Here is a 16,948-nt window from a genome sequence, read left to right on the forward strand (position 1 = left end):
ACTTCTTCAACTTGTGGATTTGGTGGCTTTTGTACAATTCTCTAAATTTACTACAATAATTTAAGTTTAGATTTACAATGGGTACATTTTATTATATGTAAATTACACATCTGTATAGCTATTCAAAAAATTAAACATGGCTAAATTTCCTCATTCTTATCAGTAGGAGCTGTTATGAGCAAGAAGTAGATCTTTATTATGTTCTCTTTGGAGCACAGCTCATTAGGATTGCTCAATCATTTTTTAGTCAATTACTCAACTGAGCTTTAAAAAACTAATCATGTTCCATGGACTATGACATTCAAGTAGCTACATGTCCTTGCCATACTAATTATCTTTTAACTACTCTTTTTTTTTTTTTTCCTAAAAGCAGCTTTTTGTACCTGCTTTCTCATCTCTGTGCCTTTGCATACACTGTACCCTTCAGCCACTACATGGTGCTTTTGGCCTGTGTAGCCTGGTTGCTGTCCAGAATGACTTCAGGGTAGTTTAAGAGAGGGAGACACAAGATGTGAACAATGTTAGATGGGTAAGTCAAAAGCTGGCAACGGTCTTTATCAGAAACAATTAGACAACTTTAACTCACACTCATAGGATAGATCTTTTCTCTCTCTCTCTCTCTTTCTCGGCAAAAATTGAGTATGAAGTATCTTATGGCTCAGAATTTTTCTGAAATGTGTGTTCCTTGGGCTGTGTGCACACAAAAGCCAACCTTATGAGGGAGCAAGTGGGTAGGTACACAGGCAATGGGGCTTCATGTATTAATTCTTCAACCAATATTTATTCAGTGTCTGCTCTGTCCCAAGTGCTGATCTGGGTATTGGAGACCCAGCACTGTACAAAACCAAGTCTCTGCCCTCATGGGGCATACATTGTATTGGGAGAGAAACAAACAATAAGCAAAGAGACACTGATATTTAAGCTGTGAGAGTTTTGGAAAGCCTTGAAAAGAGAAAAGGAGAATGTGGGAATGTGGAAGTGGCAGTTACAATTGGATAGGAGTGGCCAGCCAAGGCCTTCCTAACAAGATGACATTTGAATGTGTCTGAAGGAAATGAGGGAGGGAACTGTGCAGCTAACTTGGAAAAAAGCAACCCAGGCAGAGAGAACAGGAAATACAAAGGATTGTAGGCAGGAGGATTCTCGGCATATTCAAGCATGAAAAAGGAGGAAATGCATGTAGCTGTAGCACAGAATATAAGGGGTACATGGTAGAGATAAGTTCAAAGAAGCAGAGGTGATGTGGCTTGTAGATCATGAAGGACCTTGCAGGGCATTTTAAGGCCTTTGGATTTTAGTCTGAGTGAAGAAGGAGCTATTGAAGGACTTTGAGCAAAGAAGTGACATAATCTGACTTTTTAAATAAAGGGATTACTCTGGCTACTGTGTTGAGGTTGGCTATAGTAGGGTAGAGGTAGAAGTGGGGAGACCAGTTAAGATGCTATTGCAGTAATCCAGGTGAGAGGTGGTTGTGGCTTAGATCAGGGTGTTAGCAGTGAGAAGTGACCATGTTTTGTATATGTTTTTAAGGAAGAGCCAACAAGAGTAGCTGATGATTAGATACAGGGTGTGAGAAAGAAAGAGAAGGGTCAAAAATTAGTACTTACTTTAGTCATTTAACAAAAGTTTATCTAATACTAATTATATGCCAGGCACTGTTCCAGGTTCTTGACAAATATTGACTCAATCTTTGCAATAGCCCTATGCAATAGGTACTATTTCTTTATCCTCATTTTCCTGCCTTCAAGGTTTTGGCTCTGAGAAGCTAGGAGGATGGAGTTGTCATTTACTTAGAGAAGACAGTATAAAGAAGAGGTTCAAGGTGATATGTTAAGGCTGATGTTAATGTTGAGATGGCTGAAACAACTTCATGGAGATGTCAAGTGGGCAGTTGGTTAAAGAAGTCTGGAGTTAAGGAGTGTGGTCTTGGCTGGAGACATACATTCAGTGGTCATCTATGTAAAGATGGTATTTGAAGATGAAACTGATGAGATCTCCAAGCGAGAACAGATACAGAAGAGGAGAGGACCAATGACCAAGCTTGAGGCCATGCAATATTTAAATATGGAGACAAACTATCAGCAAAGACAGAGAAATGGCCAAAGAGCTTGACATCCTGAAAGCCAAGTAAAGAAACTGTTTGAAGGAGGAGGAAGTGGGCAACTGTGTTAAATGCCATAATTGGTCACATAAGAAAGAATTGGGAATTTATATATTGGTTACTTCAAGAAACAGGAGGAGGAGAATAGAAGATGGGAGTGAAGATAACTCTTTTGAGGCATTTTCTGTAAAAAGAAGTAGAGAAATATGGCAGCAGCCAGAGAATAATATAGGAGCAGGAGGGTTGTTCTTTTTTTATTTTGTTTTAAGGATGAGTAAAATGGCACATTTGCATGCTGGTGGAAATGGTCCAGTAGAAAAGGAAAAAAAATATTGATACAGGAGAGAGAAAATTAAAGGATGTGAATGAGAAACTGAGAGAGGATGATCAAGTAGAGGGCTTAGACTTGGATAGAAGCAGAGACAAGTCATCCTCAGTTCGTGGAGAGAAAGTAGGATGTATGGAGACAGATGCCTCTTTGGAGGGAGATGTGGCTGACACTGGGACTCCCTCCAGATTGTTTCTATTTTTCAGTGGACTAGAAAAAAGGTCATAAGTTGAGAATGAAGATCAGAGGAAGCATTGGAATTTTGAGAAGAGAGGTGTGAAATGAATATCCAGAAAAATGATGACTGTCAGCCAAAGCATTTGCCCAACCACAGGTCACTCCATCCTTCCAGTCTCAGTACTTGGGTCTGGAAAAGTTTGGTTTTCAAGGGGTCCCTATTAGAATGCAAATATTTGGGAACCCAGGTGTTCTTCAGCTGATTTTCTTGATTAACACATTTGTGTCAGAGGATGTCTGAGCTGTGAGGCAGTGTGAGTCAGATCCCTCAGGTCCTGATGGTTTTACTTGATTGTTCCTAGGAAATCTAAATTTCACCTTCTCTTATCTATTTCAAGGAAAGTAATTTATTAAATGTAAACTGAATGTAATTCATTTGAAAAGATTTGCAAGATTTAATATAGTGAAATCCACATATCAGAAAAATAATTTATCAAGCCATTTTTCCCAATTTTTTCCTGTAGAAATCAGACGTAAGACCAAGCCTTTGGTGAGCATCAAGTAAGTGGTGGTAGGAGAGACATCTATTCTTACAAAGGAGGAAAGGGGTCTCCTACTGAAGGAGAGGCATTGTTTCAGACTAATAGTTACTTTACAATTATGGAGATTTTCTCTGTGTCTGTCAAAGCTAAGCATCATTGAATTAATACCCCATCCCAAATTAACAAATACTGAGCAGGAACATACTAACTTGTCCTGTCTTCTACTATTAGGGCCAAAGAATTTCTACAGAATTTTCTTTTTTTCTTTTTTAAATTAAATTAAATTAATTAATTTATTTATTTATTTATTTATTTATTTATTTATTTATTGAGATGGAGTCTTGTTCTATCTCCCAGGCTGGAGTGCGGTGGCACTGTTTCGGCTCACTGCACCCTCCACCTCCTGGATTCAAGCAATTCTCCTGCCTCAGCCTCCCGAGTAGCTGGGATTACAGGTGTCCGCCACCACGCCTGGCTAATTTTTGTATTTTCAGTAGAGACAGGGTTTCACCATGTTGACCAGGCTGGTCTCGAACTCCTGACCTCAAAGTGATCCACCCGCCTTGGCCTCCCAAAGTGCTGGGATTACAGGCATGAGCCATCGTGCCCAGCCCAGAATTTTCTTTTTTAAAAAGTGTGTTTTCTTACCTCTAGGATAGCAAAAAAATGCTTGACATAAGGCACATGGGCTCTGGCATATCGCTGAAGCTTGCTTTAGAATCCAAGTTCTCTTGCATTCTAACTTTGTGATACTGGGAAAATGTCCTAATCTCACTGAGACACTTTCCTCTTCTCTAAATCACAGGCTACTGATGAAGGTTGTTATGAAATTCAATGAAACAACATGTCATAGTAAGTGTGCAGGCCTGTGTCTGGCATATTGAAAGGGCTATCATTATGAATTGCGTGTTGCTAGACACTTAGGTGTTATCTTCCCTTATACCTGGAGAAGCATCTAGAGCTCCCTCTGAAGATTTCTGCTTAAACTTGTATTGGGAAATCCAGCTTTATACACACACACACATTTTATATATACATATATATATATATACACACACACACACACACACACAGTTTTTCACTATACTGTCACTCAAAACACTCAGTACTTCATTTCTGACCATTAAAATGTATGGGCTTTTTTTTCCCACATCAAGCAATTCTCTAATTCTCTGCAGATACCAACTGGGTGTCCTATAGTTCAATACAATCCTGATACCAATCCAAGTTAGCACAGACACCACAGGTTAAGGGTTCAGTCCCACCAGACTGCCCCCCACTTCAGATGCCAGTCATAAGAAGTAGGTCCCTATGTTACCCACAACTTCTGTTCCACTTGGCTACAAATCAGAAGTTCTCATGATCCTCCTCTTGGGTTCAATAATTTGCTACAGCTGCTTGCTCACAGACCCAAGAAAACAGTTTACTTACTAGATTACTGGTTGATTACAAAGGCTATATTAAAGGATACAACTGAACAGCCAGATACATAGAGCAAGGTATGGGAGATGTGGCATGGAGCTACATGCCCTCTCTGGGTGGACAGCCCTCCCAGCACCTCCAAGTGTTCAGCAACCAGGAAGCTCTGTGAACCCCAACCCTTTGAGTTTTTCTGGAGGCCTCATTACATAAGCATGATTGATCGTTGATCATTAATGATTAACTCAATCTCCCACCCCTTTTCCCTCCCCAGAGGTTGAGAGGTGGGGCTGAAAGTTGCAATCCTCTAATCACAAGGTTGGTTTCCCTGGCAACCAGCCTCCCATCCTTCAGGGCTTTCCAAAAGTCATCTCATTATTAAACTCAGGTGTGTTTGAAAGGAGCTTGTTATGAATAACAAAATATCTTTATTGCTATTATCAAGATTCCTGGCCAGAAACCAGATATGAAGATCAAAATATATATTTCCTATTACATCATAATATTACAATACACAACCCAAAGACCCACATACCACTAAAACAGGGAAATAAAAGAAGAGTTGGAAAGTGGGGAATGTACAGGCTATGTTTTTAATTATCTCCTTGGTAATATAAACACGTCAGAGACTGCTGTATATTTTGCTCATCTCTAGCTGGCCTAAGACTCTGGGAATCCTTAGCCAGTAGATGAGGAGGACATCTTTGTTTTACCATAATATTGTAAAAGTTCCAGAAGGGTGGGGACCATGTGTCTAACTGAACTCAGTAAAGCTGCTTAATAACTCATTAAATGAAAGGATAATAATAAAAAAAAATGTGTGCCTGTCCTCAGCAGTTGGGTTTCAAAGGACTGCAGCCACAAGGTCCATCTCACATGGCTTGGCCCCGGGAAGTGAGTGGGTGTGCTGGCGGCTGCACTTGAAGCTGGTTTTAATGATACCCTCCAACAACTGCATCCTTTGCTGATACAGCTGTTTCAATCTTGCAGCTGTTGTGCTCTTGCTTATATGTCACTGTTTAAAATGAGGATAGCAGGAAAAACTCTTGGGGCCACATATAGAACCCCCATGGGCAGAGTCCTCAAACTGGGATGTTCCGGAAGCAAGAGAGCCAAGGCTCTGTGTTATGCAGAAAGCCTGGGCTTCTGTGACCTCTGTGTATCAATCAGCCCAGATTCTAGACACTCTGTCCTGGATAGGGCCCCAGGATAGGCCCACTGGGCAAAGCACGAGCCGATAACTCAAACTGTTATCCGTGAACCTGACCAGGCGGGAGGGAGTCAGTGTGTGTAGTTTATAGGCCACAGCCATGAGGCCATATGTCTTTTACAGCCAGCTGGAGTGTCAGGCTGATCCCATGCTTGTCACCTGGCCCTTTTCTTCCCTGGCAAGTGACTGCTGATTCCTCTTGTAGGCCCTCCAGAATCTGGGACTATCAGTGCAGGTTGCAGGTTATGCTGTGCAAGGGTTTTTAGTTTCTTTATTTAGCCATGGAATCTCATCTCCCAACAAACTCTCAGGCCAAAGCCGGATATATAAAAACAGTTAGTTCTGGAAGTATTTGGCATGAAGTGGTAGTAGATGAACCAAAGCTGGCTATCTCTGCCACACCAAAATTCACTACACACACACACACACACACACACACACTCACAGACACTCATTGAGTTACCTCTATAGAATTCTTAGGACTCTAAGCAGAGGCAGTTAGAAAACCCCTGATAGTGCCATTTTTTTCATTTTTATAGATGAGAAAGCAACTCTAGGTCTTTCCTGCCTAATGTAGAAGCTACTAGTCCCAGGTAGCCACTGAGCATTTGAATGGCTAGTCTGAACCGGGGTGTGCTGTGGTTGTAAAACACATGCAGGATTTCAAAGACTTGGTACCAAAAAAAAAAGAATGTAAAAAATCTCATTAATACATTTTTTATTGAGGGCATGCTGAAGTAATAATAGTTTGGATAGATCAGGTCCAATAAAAAATACTATTAAAAGTAATCCCATTTGTTTTGTTTTACTTTTTAAAATATGACTATAAGAAAATTCAGAATTACGCAGTGGCGTACATTCATGACTTTCTAAATTATAATTGTATTGAACAGCAATGGTTTCTATTGTTTTGCTAAATGCCTTTTCAAGGCTATCTGGATCATTGGAGACAGGTCAGAACTCCTAACTAAGTGCTCTCTCCTTTCCACCATCCCCACATGATTCATTTACATGGAGAGGTAATTGACAGATAGAAGCTTACATTAACATCCTTGGGGAGTTTCCTTTAATTTAATGGGATAAGAGGAAAGAACTTGCAGACAAAGGTAAAGGTGGGGTAGGATTAGGCCCATGGATGATCTTCCTAATGACTTTTGTTATCTAGAGCATTGACTTAGAAGCACCAACTTAGAAACAAGAAGGGCTGAGTCTAGAGCCTTTGACAATTACTCTCTCTCCTTGCGTAAGTCACTAGACTTCCTGGGTCTCATTTTTCTTATCTGTAAAGTGAGGAGATAAGTTCACAGCACCCAAAGTCGTCTTCAGCTCTGGAATTCCATGACTCACCATTTTTGTCTTCACCCATATTCTTCAGTGCTAGCAAATACTTTTTGATATAGTGTTCCTGCATTTATTTCTTTTAACTTCTTGATCACCCTCTTCTCCTAAAACCCAACTTCAGCTAAGATAAGTAGGATTGGGAAGGGAAGATTATTTCGAAGACAACTGCAAGTCACTCCTCTTTACTCTTGACCCCAACAGCAGTGAAAGATGAGCTGTGTGCTCTTACCTCTAGCTCAGTAAAGGAGGACCAGGAGGAGGAAGACGGCAAGGAGGGAATGAAGGGGGAGGAAGCAGAGAGATGGGGAAAGAAGAGGAAAAAGATGAAGAAATAAGAAGAAAATGGGTTTTAGCAATGCATACCTGAAGGGATGATGAGCCTGGACTCTCTGGACTCCTAGATTATGAACTCCTGCAGTGGACCATGTCCTATTTTTTGGAGGCGTTGGGGGGAATTGTCTTACGCAGCACCCAAGCACACTGCTATGCAATGGACCACAGATAGGAAGCAAGCACTGCATTTGGCTCACTGAGTTTGTAGCCCCTGCCTTTTATAGCCAGCAAGTTGATAATAATTGTGAGAGTGAAGGCAGATGAAACACACAGTACTCAGAGTGAGATGTCAAACAACAAATTTACTGAGCTTTTTACCTTCCTTCTGAGCCCCTATGAAGCAGAAAACACCCAGACATTGTTTTAAGTTAGGGAGTTTCCAGCTTTGCAAGTGAACTCCCTGGCGGAGGGCCAGGCCTGCCGTCAGCTCGTGGGAGCGAGCAGCATTCTCGGGGTTGTGTTGGAAGTTCCAAGCGTATGATGCATTTATGGCAGGATGGAGCTGGTACCTATAGGTTTAGGGTTTAATTTTTGTTCTAGAACGTACTTCCTCTCTGAATTGCCGCATGTGCTGAGACGCTGGTTGTGCTGTTTCCTTCTGAAGCCCTCTCTGTTTTAAGTGTTGCCTCGAAAGGAATGATGAGGCGAGAAGCTTGTCTCAGGCCCCAACCACACCTGGCAGCCCTGAGGGGAGAGCAGTGTGAGGGGACATGGCTCTGTGGCCCACAGTAACCCATTGTCTTCCCTTCACGTGGGCTTCGCAGAGGGCAGAAGGGACTGGCACTGCTTTGAAAGGCAGTGTGAACTCAACCTCTCCCGCCCACACCAGGGACACCAACCTTTGGGGTTAGCTTAGCCAGCAACCAAAGAACATTTAATTAAAACATACTTTTTAGAAAGGAAGAAAAGAGGCCAACACAAAATAGCTATTTAAAATGCCAGATTTCTGGAAAATCAGAAGAGAGTAAAGCTGGAGCAAATTCTCCGGTGGTGGTGGTCAGGGGGTTGCAGTCAGGACTCCTTCAGGGCCATTATCCTGCTGCTTCTGGTGTCCAGTACCTGCCTCTCAGAAGACAGAACACAAAACCAAGCTCTACCAAAGCCAATAACCAAGTATCAAATACTGTGAATCAGGGTTCCTTTTGGAAGTGTCCACTGAGGCCCTCTCAGCCAGAACACAAAATTCATTTCCCTTAATATCCTGCAGGCATATGGATAAACTGCTCCTTTGGCAGTTTCTTAACTGAATGGGGGCTGATGGAGCCCAGCCAGGCTCCAGGTAAATGAGACTGTAAAGTGGGGCTCAAAGAAAATGTCCTCTGGGTTGCGCATGCTCTGTTGACACAGGGCTGGTTAAAATGTCCTGGAGTGGGAGGTCCAGGTCCAGGTCACTTCCTTACTAGTGCCTCAGGGAGACTCTCCCTTCTCACCAGGGCTTATGGTCCTTTGTATTTTTCTCACAGAACTGAGGATCCCAGCCCTCCCATCTCCATCCATGCTCAGGGATTGTAGTGGGGGAAGAAGGACCTCCCTTTCTGCGTGTCCCCTCACTTGTCTTCTGAGAGCTACCTGTAAAAGAGACAGGCTTTGAGCTACAAACAAAAGCCAAGCACTCCAAATCTAGGGAATTGCAGGGTCACCTTGTACATTACTCAACTTGGACTGCCGTAACAAAGTATTAATACAATAGACTGGGTGGCTTAAACAGCAGAAATTTATTTTCTCATGGTTCTAGATGTTAGAAGTCCAAGATCAAGGTGCTGGCAGAGTTGGTTTCTTTTGAAGCCTCTCTCCTCTGCTTGCAGATGGTTGTCTCTTCCCTTTATCTTCGCAGGGTCTTCCTTCTATGGTATCTTCTCTCTTTATAAGGACACCAATCGCCTTGGATTAGGGACCACCTTATGACCTCATTTTAACTCAATTACCCCTTCAAAGGCTCCGTCTTCAAATACATTTTGTAGTACTGTAACTCAAATGTGTAGTGCTGTAACTCAAATCTCTTCAAATATATTTTGTAGTACTGTACTCAACATGTGAGTTTTGGGAAGACACAATTCAGCCCATACACCATGTCTGTGACTTTCAAGAAGGCTGGGAACCATAGCAACACACCACATTTAAATCATCCAATAATGCCATTCCATTTCCTCTTCTTCCCCAAATGCCCCAGTTTTATTGGCCTTTCTGAGCTCCTTAGGCCAGTTTTCTCCAGGATTTCAGTTCTCTGTGGTGCTGAGGACATTCCCTGGAACATTTCCCTTGGGGACAGCAGCATTGCCAAGGTGGAGGCCAATGTGCTCCCTCACCCGCGACTCCTCCCTTGCTGGCCGTTCCCAGCTCAGCCAAAGCAGAAAGTGAGGCCCAGTTAGAGGGTTGTGGTCTTGCCCGAGGAGCCAGGGCTAGCAGACCTCCCAGTCCCCCAGGGGCAACGTTCAAAAAGATAGCCTTCTCCTCATCAGCTTGTACGTCCTGTTGTGTTTACAAGCAGGCCTTCTCTGCATGAAACAGGTTCCAGATAAGGATGTTCAGAATTTGTTTGGCTTCCCACCACTCCTGAAAAGTAATTGCCTGGTAGTGCAGGCTGGGAAAGAAGACAGGATTACTGAGCCCAGAGATGATCTCTTTTAACCCCTCTGTTTTTTTTTTTCAGATCAATTTAAAGTTACTTTTCCTACCCCTGAACCAGATCAACAACCATCCCCTTTACTCTGGGCTTTGCAATTCAACTCTATTTTCTATGATTGCAGTGCTGAGCTTATTAAACAAAAGCAGCTCTTGTGAATCCTCTCCCTAAGATGATCGTTCCTGGGTGGTCCTTCTTGGGTGGGTCCCTGGGCACAGAAACCCCAGGCCACGTTTCCTCCTCTGCTCAGCACGCTGGGCAGATTCTGCCTCCCGCAGCTCAGCTCTGGCTCATCAGGAGATAAGATCAGAGACACTACGGAAGGGCCAGGTTTTAACAAGGCAGAAAATACAAGCTATTCCAAACATGAGGCCTACTGTGCAAAAAACAAACCCCCTGGCTTTGGGGGCCCTCTCCTGGAGAGGGTTTCTCTGCTCATAAAGATTGGTATCAAGGGGTGAGGAGGGAGTCATGCCATCCCAGCAGGACCTCCAGTTGAGGGCTTCACTTTCAATTACCCAAGAGCAGCTGTAGACTGCTGCTTATGTAATGGGCTCTGCGCCTCCTTCTCGGGAGGAGGATGTGGAACCGTTTTGTGTTTGCTGAATAATGAGTCATGGTCAGAGTTAGGGAGCAGAAACAGTGACTCTCTCCCCTGCATTGCTTCATCCGGAACTTCTAGTAAAGAATGATAAGCCCTGAGTCAGTGCCCAGTGGGGCCTGCCCTGGAAGGGGAAGCACCACAGGAGGCTCTGAAATGCAGGCCCCACAGAGCCCACGCACCAGGCTGAAGGAGACTCTGGGGGCATTTGAAGCCCAGATGGGCTGCTTGCAAGAAGATTCACTGTTTATTTAGGCCTGTAGCTGAGCTGCCAGGGTTTTCCTATCTCGGGTAATCACAGCTCCTCCAGCCAGGATCCAGGAGTGTTGGGGTGAAGACTGAGGCTTCAAAATGAACAGAGCTTTCTCCAAACCTCATTTTAGCTCTAAGAAATGAAACAAGTCAGCCGTACACGGTGGCCCTGCTGTAATCCCAGCATTTTGGGAGGCTGAGGCGGGCGGATCACGAGGTCAGGAGTTTGAGACCAGACTGGCCAACATGGTGAAACACCATCTCTACTAAAGATACAAAAAAATTAGCCAGGCATGGTGGCGAGCGCCTATAATCCCAGCTACTCCGTAGGCTGAGGCAGGAGAATCACTTGAACCCAGGAGGCGGAGGTTGCAGTGAGTCAAGATTGCGCCATTGCACTCCAGCCTGGGTGACAGGGTGAGACTCCATCTTAAAAAAAAAAAAAAAGAAAGAACAAGTCTGAGGGGCGGGAGAAAGGGCACGTTTATATCAACTGAGAAGTCAAAAGGTTTGGTTTTAGCCAGAAAGGGAAAAAAAAGACACATTATTGCTCACATTCTGAGGTCAAACAAACAAACAAAACCCCTGAGAAAACAATATGAAGCCCTGTAAGAAAAGGCTTAATGGACCAGAAATTATTTGTTCCTCTTCATGTTTCTGAGAAATGTGGTTCAAACTTTATAGACTTTCCACATCAGCAAACAATTAATCATGGCTTGCACTCCCACCCCACCATGCTTTTCAACATACCTAGCAAGAAGCCACAGGCCATTTCTTGTCTTTCTGTAGCAAATCACAGACCAGATCTGGGTGCATAAGCGAGGTTTCCTATGGAGTTGGTGGGTTATTCTATGGTGGGTGCTGCAGGAAGTTCAGGGCAGCTTGCCTAATGCACAAGGAAGGGAACATTTCCTTCCCTGTGCAAGGCTTCAGGAGACTGACCCCTGCCTATGACAGCATAACACAAAGCTCAAGGTCAAACTGCCTGGGTTTGAATCCCAGCTCTGCTACGGGCCACCAGCTATGTGAGTCTGGCACACAACTGATTTCTCTGCTTGGATCCCTCATCTGTAAAATGAAGGCAACAAAAGCTGCTACCTCGTAGGGTGGTTGTGAAGACTAAAGTAAAACTTGTAAAGCATTTTGAGTGTTTTTCTTTTTCTCCATCATTATCTTTTAAGGTTAGCCTAATGTTCATCTCTAGTGACTTCTATCTAAAAATTTGTTAGTGAGACAGAATAGCATAAACAGGTCTTATGGCCAAGCAGATATGGCCTTTTTACAACTAGTAAAATTTTTCTTTAGAATTTTCATTTGCAAAATGGAGAAAATATAAATTTATAGTAAGGATTCGATAAAGTATATAAAGTCGTTTAGCTTAGAAAGTGCTCAATAAGCGGTACTTTGGTTATAATTCTCAATAGACCTGAATCTCTGCTCAAATAAGTTCCGTATTTCATTATCCCATGTAGCAAGATGAAATCCCAACACCCAGATCACAGACATCCCTTTAGAGTATTTCTACACATATTTATAATATAAAATTTCAGAGAGGAAGGACATTCATAAAATTCTAATTTAAAACAAAATCCTTAAGGCATCTAATTCTTAAGGCAAAACATTTTGTTGTTTGGTTGAGAAAAGGAAGGAGGAAAGATGAGGCAATTCTTTAGATTCTTTAAAGAAGGGCTCTTTCAGCTTGAGTTATATTGATTGACTTCCTGGCTTGAATCACTTCATGGTATTTTGTTCAACTCAGCTGACCATAGGAAGCAGATGACATACCTCCTCTGAGACTGGCTCTTTAGCACCAGATGGACAAGATAAGTGCTATAAGATGAGGGGCAGCCACATGGCTGACATCGTCATCGTCATCATCATCATCATCATCATCATATCATCCCATGTAGTGTCCACATGTAGGGAGGAGCACTTCTTGTGTGTTGAGCACAGCACTAAAGGACTTTACATATTAACTCAGTTTTATCCTTACAACAACCTTGTTGGCTTAATATTATTATCTCTATCTTTTTTATTTTTATTTATTTATTTATCTATTTAGAGACAGGGTCTCATTCTGTCACCCAGGCTGGAGTGCACTGGCATGATCATAGCTCACTGTAGCCTTGAACTCCTTGGCTCAAGCAATCCACCTGCCTCATTCTCCTGAGCTAGGACAATAGGCATGTGCCACCACATCTGGCTCTTTTTTGTTGTTGAGAAGGGCAGTGGGGGGTTCTTGCTATGTTGCCCAGGCTTGTCTCAAACTCCTGGCCTTAAGTTATCCTCCTGCATCGGCCTCCCAAAGTGCTGGGATTACAGGTGTGAGCCACCGCACCCAGGCTGTTTCCATCCTAAGAATGAGAAAATCATGTTCTTTAGAGTCTTTCAATCTGTTCATGGTTCTGCCGCTAAGTGGTACAGCAGGGGTGAGAATCCAGGATCCCAATCATGGAAGCTTTTTCCATTAGGCTTTATGGCCACTGCTGCTGAGGGTGGGGCCTTCCCGGAAGCCACTCTCACCCATGCCATTGTGGTTTATAAATCATGCTAAATGTCCCTGCTAAGCAGCCCAAGCTGACCTGCTGGGCTAGTGGCCCTGTCCCGGGAGCGCTCACAGGCAGTGTTGGGAGAGACTGCAACCATTGCTGACAGGCCGGAAGAGGCATTGCCATCCTCAGACTCTTGGTGCAACTGAGATGAACTTGACAGAAATGATTTGGTTCCACAGGAAAATATAATTCCCCCTAAGTTATTTTGTGGAGTCAGCGGTAAGGGAGGCAGGGGCGTCCCCAGTGTCTTGGTGCAGATATTGGTGCCCCCTGAGAGGGCAGACCTGATGGCCCGGACAAGTTTCCTTTCTTGAAACAACGTTAATTTGTCCAGTTTTGTGGCTTTTTTATGTGGAACAACATTAGCTCATCCAAGCTTGTGGTTTATTTGAAAACGAAATTCCGGTAAATCTTTCGCACCATCTGGCAGTGTGGTGATTGGCCGCGAGTTAGGAACAAGCCACTGAGCACACAAGAAAACAAAGCAGTGAAAACCCACCACCCCAAACAGAAAGGCTTTCTGTAAATTTTGTGCCTCAGCAACCCCACGGGGCTCTCTGAGGACGGGTCTCCCTGTGAGCAGAGCTGTAACCTGTCACTCTTGGGTGGGAATCTGTTTCCTTCAATAGCTAAGGCCTAGTGGAATTTCTTAGGGTAAGCTTTAGCCAGGGTCTTACATTCTTTCTTTAGACACAGATTAGCAAGGACCCTCTGAGGGCACATTCAGAGGATCTAGAAACCAACATGAGTGATCAGGAGAAAAGGGAAATTGAAACATCAGTGGTTGACTCTGGTGTGTGGAAAAATGAGTGGGCCTGAGTCCCCGAGGGACATAGAAGATGGCATTCTCACTTATCTGTCTGCCACACCCAAAAATCCTTCCCTGGTATTCATTGCACACATAATAAATGTTTATCCAGTGCCAGCTACATGCCTTGCACTGCTTTGGGCACAGGGGAGAGAACTATGAACAAGACAGTCAGAGCCCTTGCCTTTAAAGAGCTTATATCCTAATAGCATAGGCAATTTAAAACACATGATTTGAAATACTAATTTTGGCTGGGCACAATGGCTCATGCCTGTAATCCCAGCATTTTGAGAGGCTGAAGTGAGAGGATCGCTTGAGCTCAGGAGTTTGAGACCAGCCTGGGCAACAGAGTGGAACATTGTCTCTACAAAAAATGAAAAATTAGCTGGGCGTGGTGCCATGCACCTGTGATCCCAGCTACTCGGAAGGCTGAGGTGGGAGGATTGCCTGAAGCCAAGAATTTGAAGCCGTGATTATGCCACTGCACTCTAGCCTGGGTGACAGAGTGAGGTTCTGTCTCAAAAAAAAAACAAAAAACAAAACAATGTAATAATTTCAAATACGTTAAGTGCTATGCTGGGGACACACAAGGGGCTGAGGAGAATGAATGCAGGGAATGAGTGATCTTTAGCTAGATGGCTCAGGGAAGGCTCTTGGAGTCAGTGTTTCAGCAAAGAACCCATGTGAGATGCTGGTGACTGTGCAAGGTGTGGAAAGGCCTCTGTGCTGCAGGAACTGAAGGGCCAGCCTGAAGAGGTATGCAGAAGAAGGAAGAGTGCATGACAGGAGGAGGGGGAGGCAGGCAAGGGCCATGCTCACAAGGCTGTGAGAAGTCATTTCTCCCTTTCATGCAGGGGAAGGGCATGATCCAGCTCACATGAACAGAAAAGCACTTTGCCACTATGAGGAGGATGGATTGTAGGAGGCCAATAGTGGAAGCAGAGCAACCACTGAATAGGTTATCTCAGTTGTCCAGGCAAGAGACAATGGTGGCTTGAGTCAAAGGGATAGCAGCAGAGAGGGAGAGAAAAGACATTTGAGCTTGAATCAGGAGAATTTGCTGATGGGTTTGATATCAGGGAGTAAAGGAAGGGTTCCAATAAGTATGAAGCTGGTATTTGAAACCATGAGAACTGATGAGCTGACCTAGCTGATGGGAAGAGAAAAGCATTCCAGAAAAGAAATATGTGGGGTTTCTCACCCTGTGACCTGCATGGGCATCTGGGCAGGAGTACACACAGAGGCTGTAACCCACATCATGGGGGCCTCATGCACAGATGTTGGACACTTCAGCCCACTGGTACACAGCCCCCAACCCCTACCACCTGCCTCTCACAAAGCACTCATTGGCTATTACCCCAGGACGAACATGGGAAAAGGCATCAGGCAAGTCCTAGAATTTGGCCTTGAGCTTTTTGGGTGGAAATTACAGGGCCCCAGGACTCCAAAGAGTGGTCTAGAAGAGAGAGTGTGTAGACTGGGCAAGCGTGCCCCTCAAACCTGTGGGCTCCTCACTCATCTGGCTAGGATCAGAGCAGGCCAGGTCAGGGCAGAAACCTCCAAAGCATGAGACACGGGGCAGGGCCCTGGCTGCCAGATCTAAGGGAGGTACTGCGCTGGTTGTAGTTATCAGAGTAATCAAGGCCATTTCTCCAGGAAGCTGAGGTACAGGCCCTAGGAAGGGAGTGTGTGTAACTCGCCCTGCCAATCCCTAGACTACTGCTACAGATTACCCAAAGAACTAAGCGTAGAACTACATTTGATCCAGAAATCCCACTACTGGGTATCTACTTCTTGTCTTGAAAAAGAAATAATTATACCAGAAAGATGGCTGCACTCGTGTGTTTATCATAGCACTATTCTCAATAGCAAAGTCATGAAATCAACCTAAATGTCCATCAATGGATGACCAGATAAAGAAAATATGGCATATATACACAATGGCATACTATTAAACCATAAAGAGAATAAAATCATGTCTTTTGCAAAAACATGGATGGAACTGGAGGTCATTATTTTAAGTGAAACAGCTCATAAACAGGGTGACAAATACTACATGTTCTCATTTATGAGTGGGAGCTAAATAATGTGTACACAGGGATGTAGGGTGTAGAAGGATAGACACTGGAGACTTGGAAGGATAAGGGAGGGAGGTGAACGATGAGATATTCCTTAATGGATACAATGTATGTTATTCAGGTGATGGATATACTAAAAGCCCTGACTTTCCCATTACTCAATATATTCATGTAACAAAATTACACTTGTACCCCATGCATTTATACCGAAAAAAAAGATCCCTTACTACTTCTACAGTTTCTAATACATGGTCCCGCACCTAACTCCACCCTGACCATGTATGTCATAATGGGAGTTGGCACCCTTGCTGCACTTGCCAAAACTTATACTGGTGGGAAGAAGAAAAAATCTGAGATACAGACTTAGGTGAGATGAAAACCCCAGTTGCAGAGGCTACTTCAGCCAGGTTAGCCAGAAGATCTGAGGACAGGTTCCAATGGGCATCTGATGTGTGTTCGAACATCAGGTGTGGTTTTCATAGGTGCTGGGGAGAGGCCACCCCCCAGGCTGTGGTCAAGATGGGAATTCCAGACATGAGTGGTGTGCAGGGAAGTGTAGAGAAGCATAGCTTCTGTTGGTCTG

The 16,948-nt window shown here is 43.9% G+C and overlaps 3 long non-coding RNA genes across 10 annotated transcripts in view, besides 3 other annotated features; 1 reads left to right on the forward strand and 2 right to left on the reverse strand.

Annotated features, from left to right (window-relative positions):
* Nucleotides 1-7,646, reverse strand: part of SSPN-AS1 (SSPN antisense RNA 1) — a 60,672-nt gene extending 53,026 nt beyond the window's left edge. For all 6 annotated transcript variants that reach the window (NR_187468.1, NR_187469.1, NR_187465.1 and 3 more), the window contains exon 1: nt 7,482-7,646. This is a non-coding gene — a long non-coding RNA (SSPN antisense RNA 1). The remainder of the gene's footprint in view (nt 1-7,481) is intronic.
* Nucleotides 1-16,948, forward strand: part of LOC105369705 (uncharacterized) — a 57,584-nt gene that overhangs the window by 11,310 nt on the left and 29,326 nt on the right. The window lies entirely within an intron of this gene.
* Nucleotides 7,788-8,007: an enhancer, noted in NCBI's record as "active region_6119". NCBI's record gives its function as "activates an Ori minimal core promoter by ATAC-STARR-seq in GM12878 lymphoblastoid cells {active_cell/tissue: GM12878}" and the evidence as "EXISTENCE:reporter gene assay evidence [ECO:0000049][PMID:35858748]".
* On the reverse strand, nt 9,148-11,874 carry LOC105369704 (uncharacterized). Its single transcript, NR_188068.1, has 2 exons — nt 11,678-11,874; nt 9,148-9,311 (listed from the first exon to the last, which is right to left on the reverse strand). It is a non-coding gene; the product is annotated as an uncharacterized LOC105369704 (long non-coding RNA).
* Nucleotides 10,547-10,986: an enhancer, noted in NCBI's record as "active region_6120". NCBI's record gives its function as "activates an Ori minimal core promoter by ATAC-STARR-seq in GM12878 lymphoblastoid cells {active_cell/tissue: GM12878}" and the evidence as "EXISTENCE:reporter gene assay evidence [ECO:0000049][PMID:35858748]".
* Nucleotides 11,007-11,056: an enhancer, noted in NCBI's record as "active region_6121". NCBI's record gives its function as "activates an Ori minimal core promoter by ATAC-STARR-seq in GM12878 lymphoblastoid cells {active_cell/tissue: GM12878}" and the evidence as "EXISTENCE:reporter gene assay evidence [ECO:0000049][PMID:35858748]".

This window comes from Homo sapiens, chromosome 12 (genome assembly GCF_000001405.40).
Source record: "Homo sapiens chromosome 12, GRCh38.p14 Primary Assembly".
NCBI classification, from domain to species: domain Eukaryota; kingdom Metazoa; phylum Chordata; class Mammalia; order Primates; family Hominidae; genus Homo; species Homo sapiens.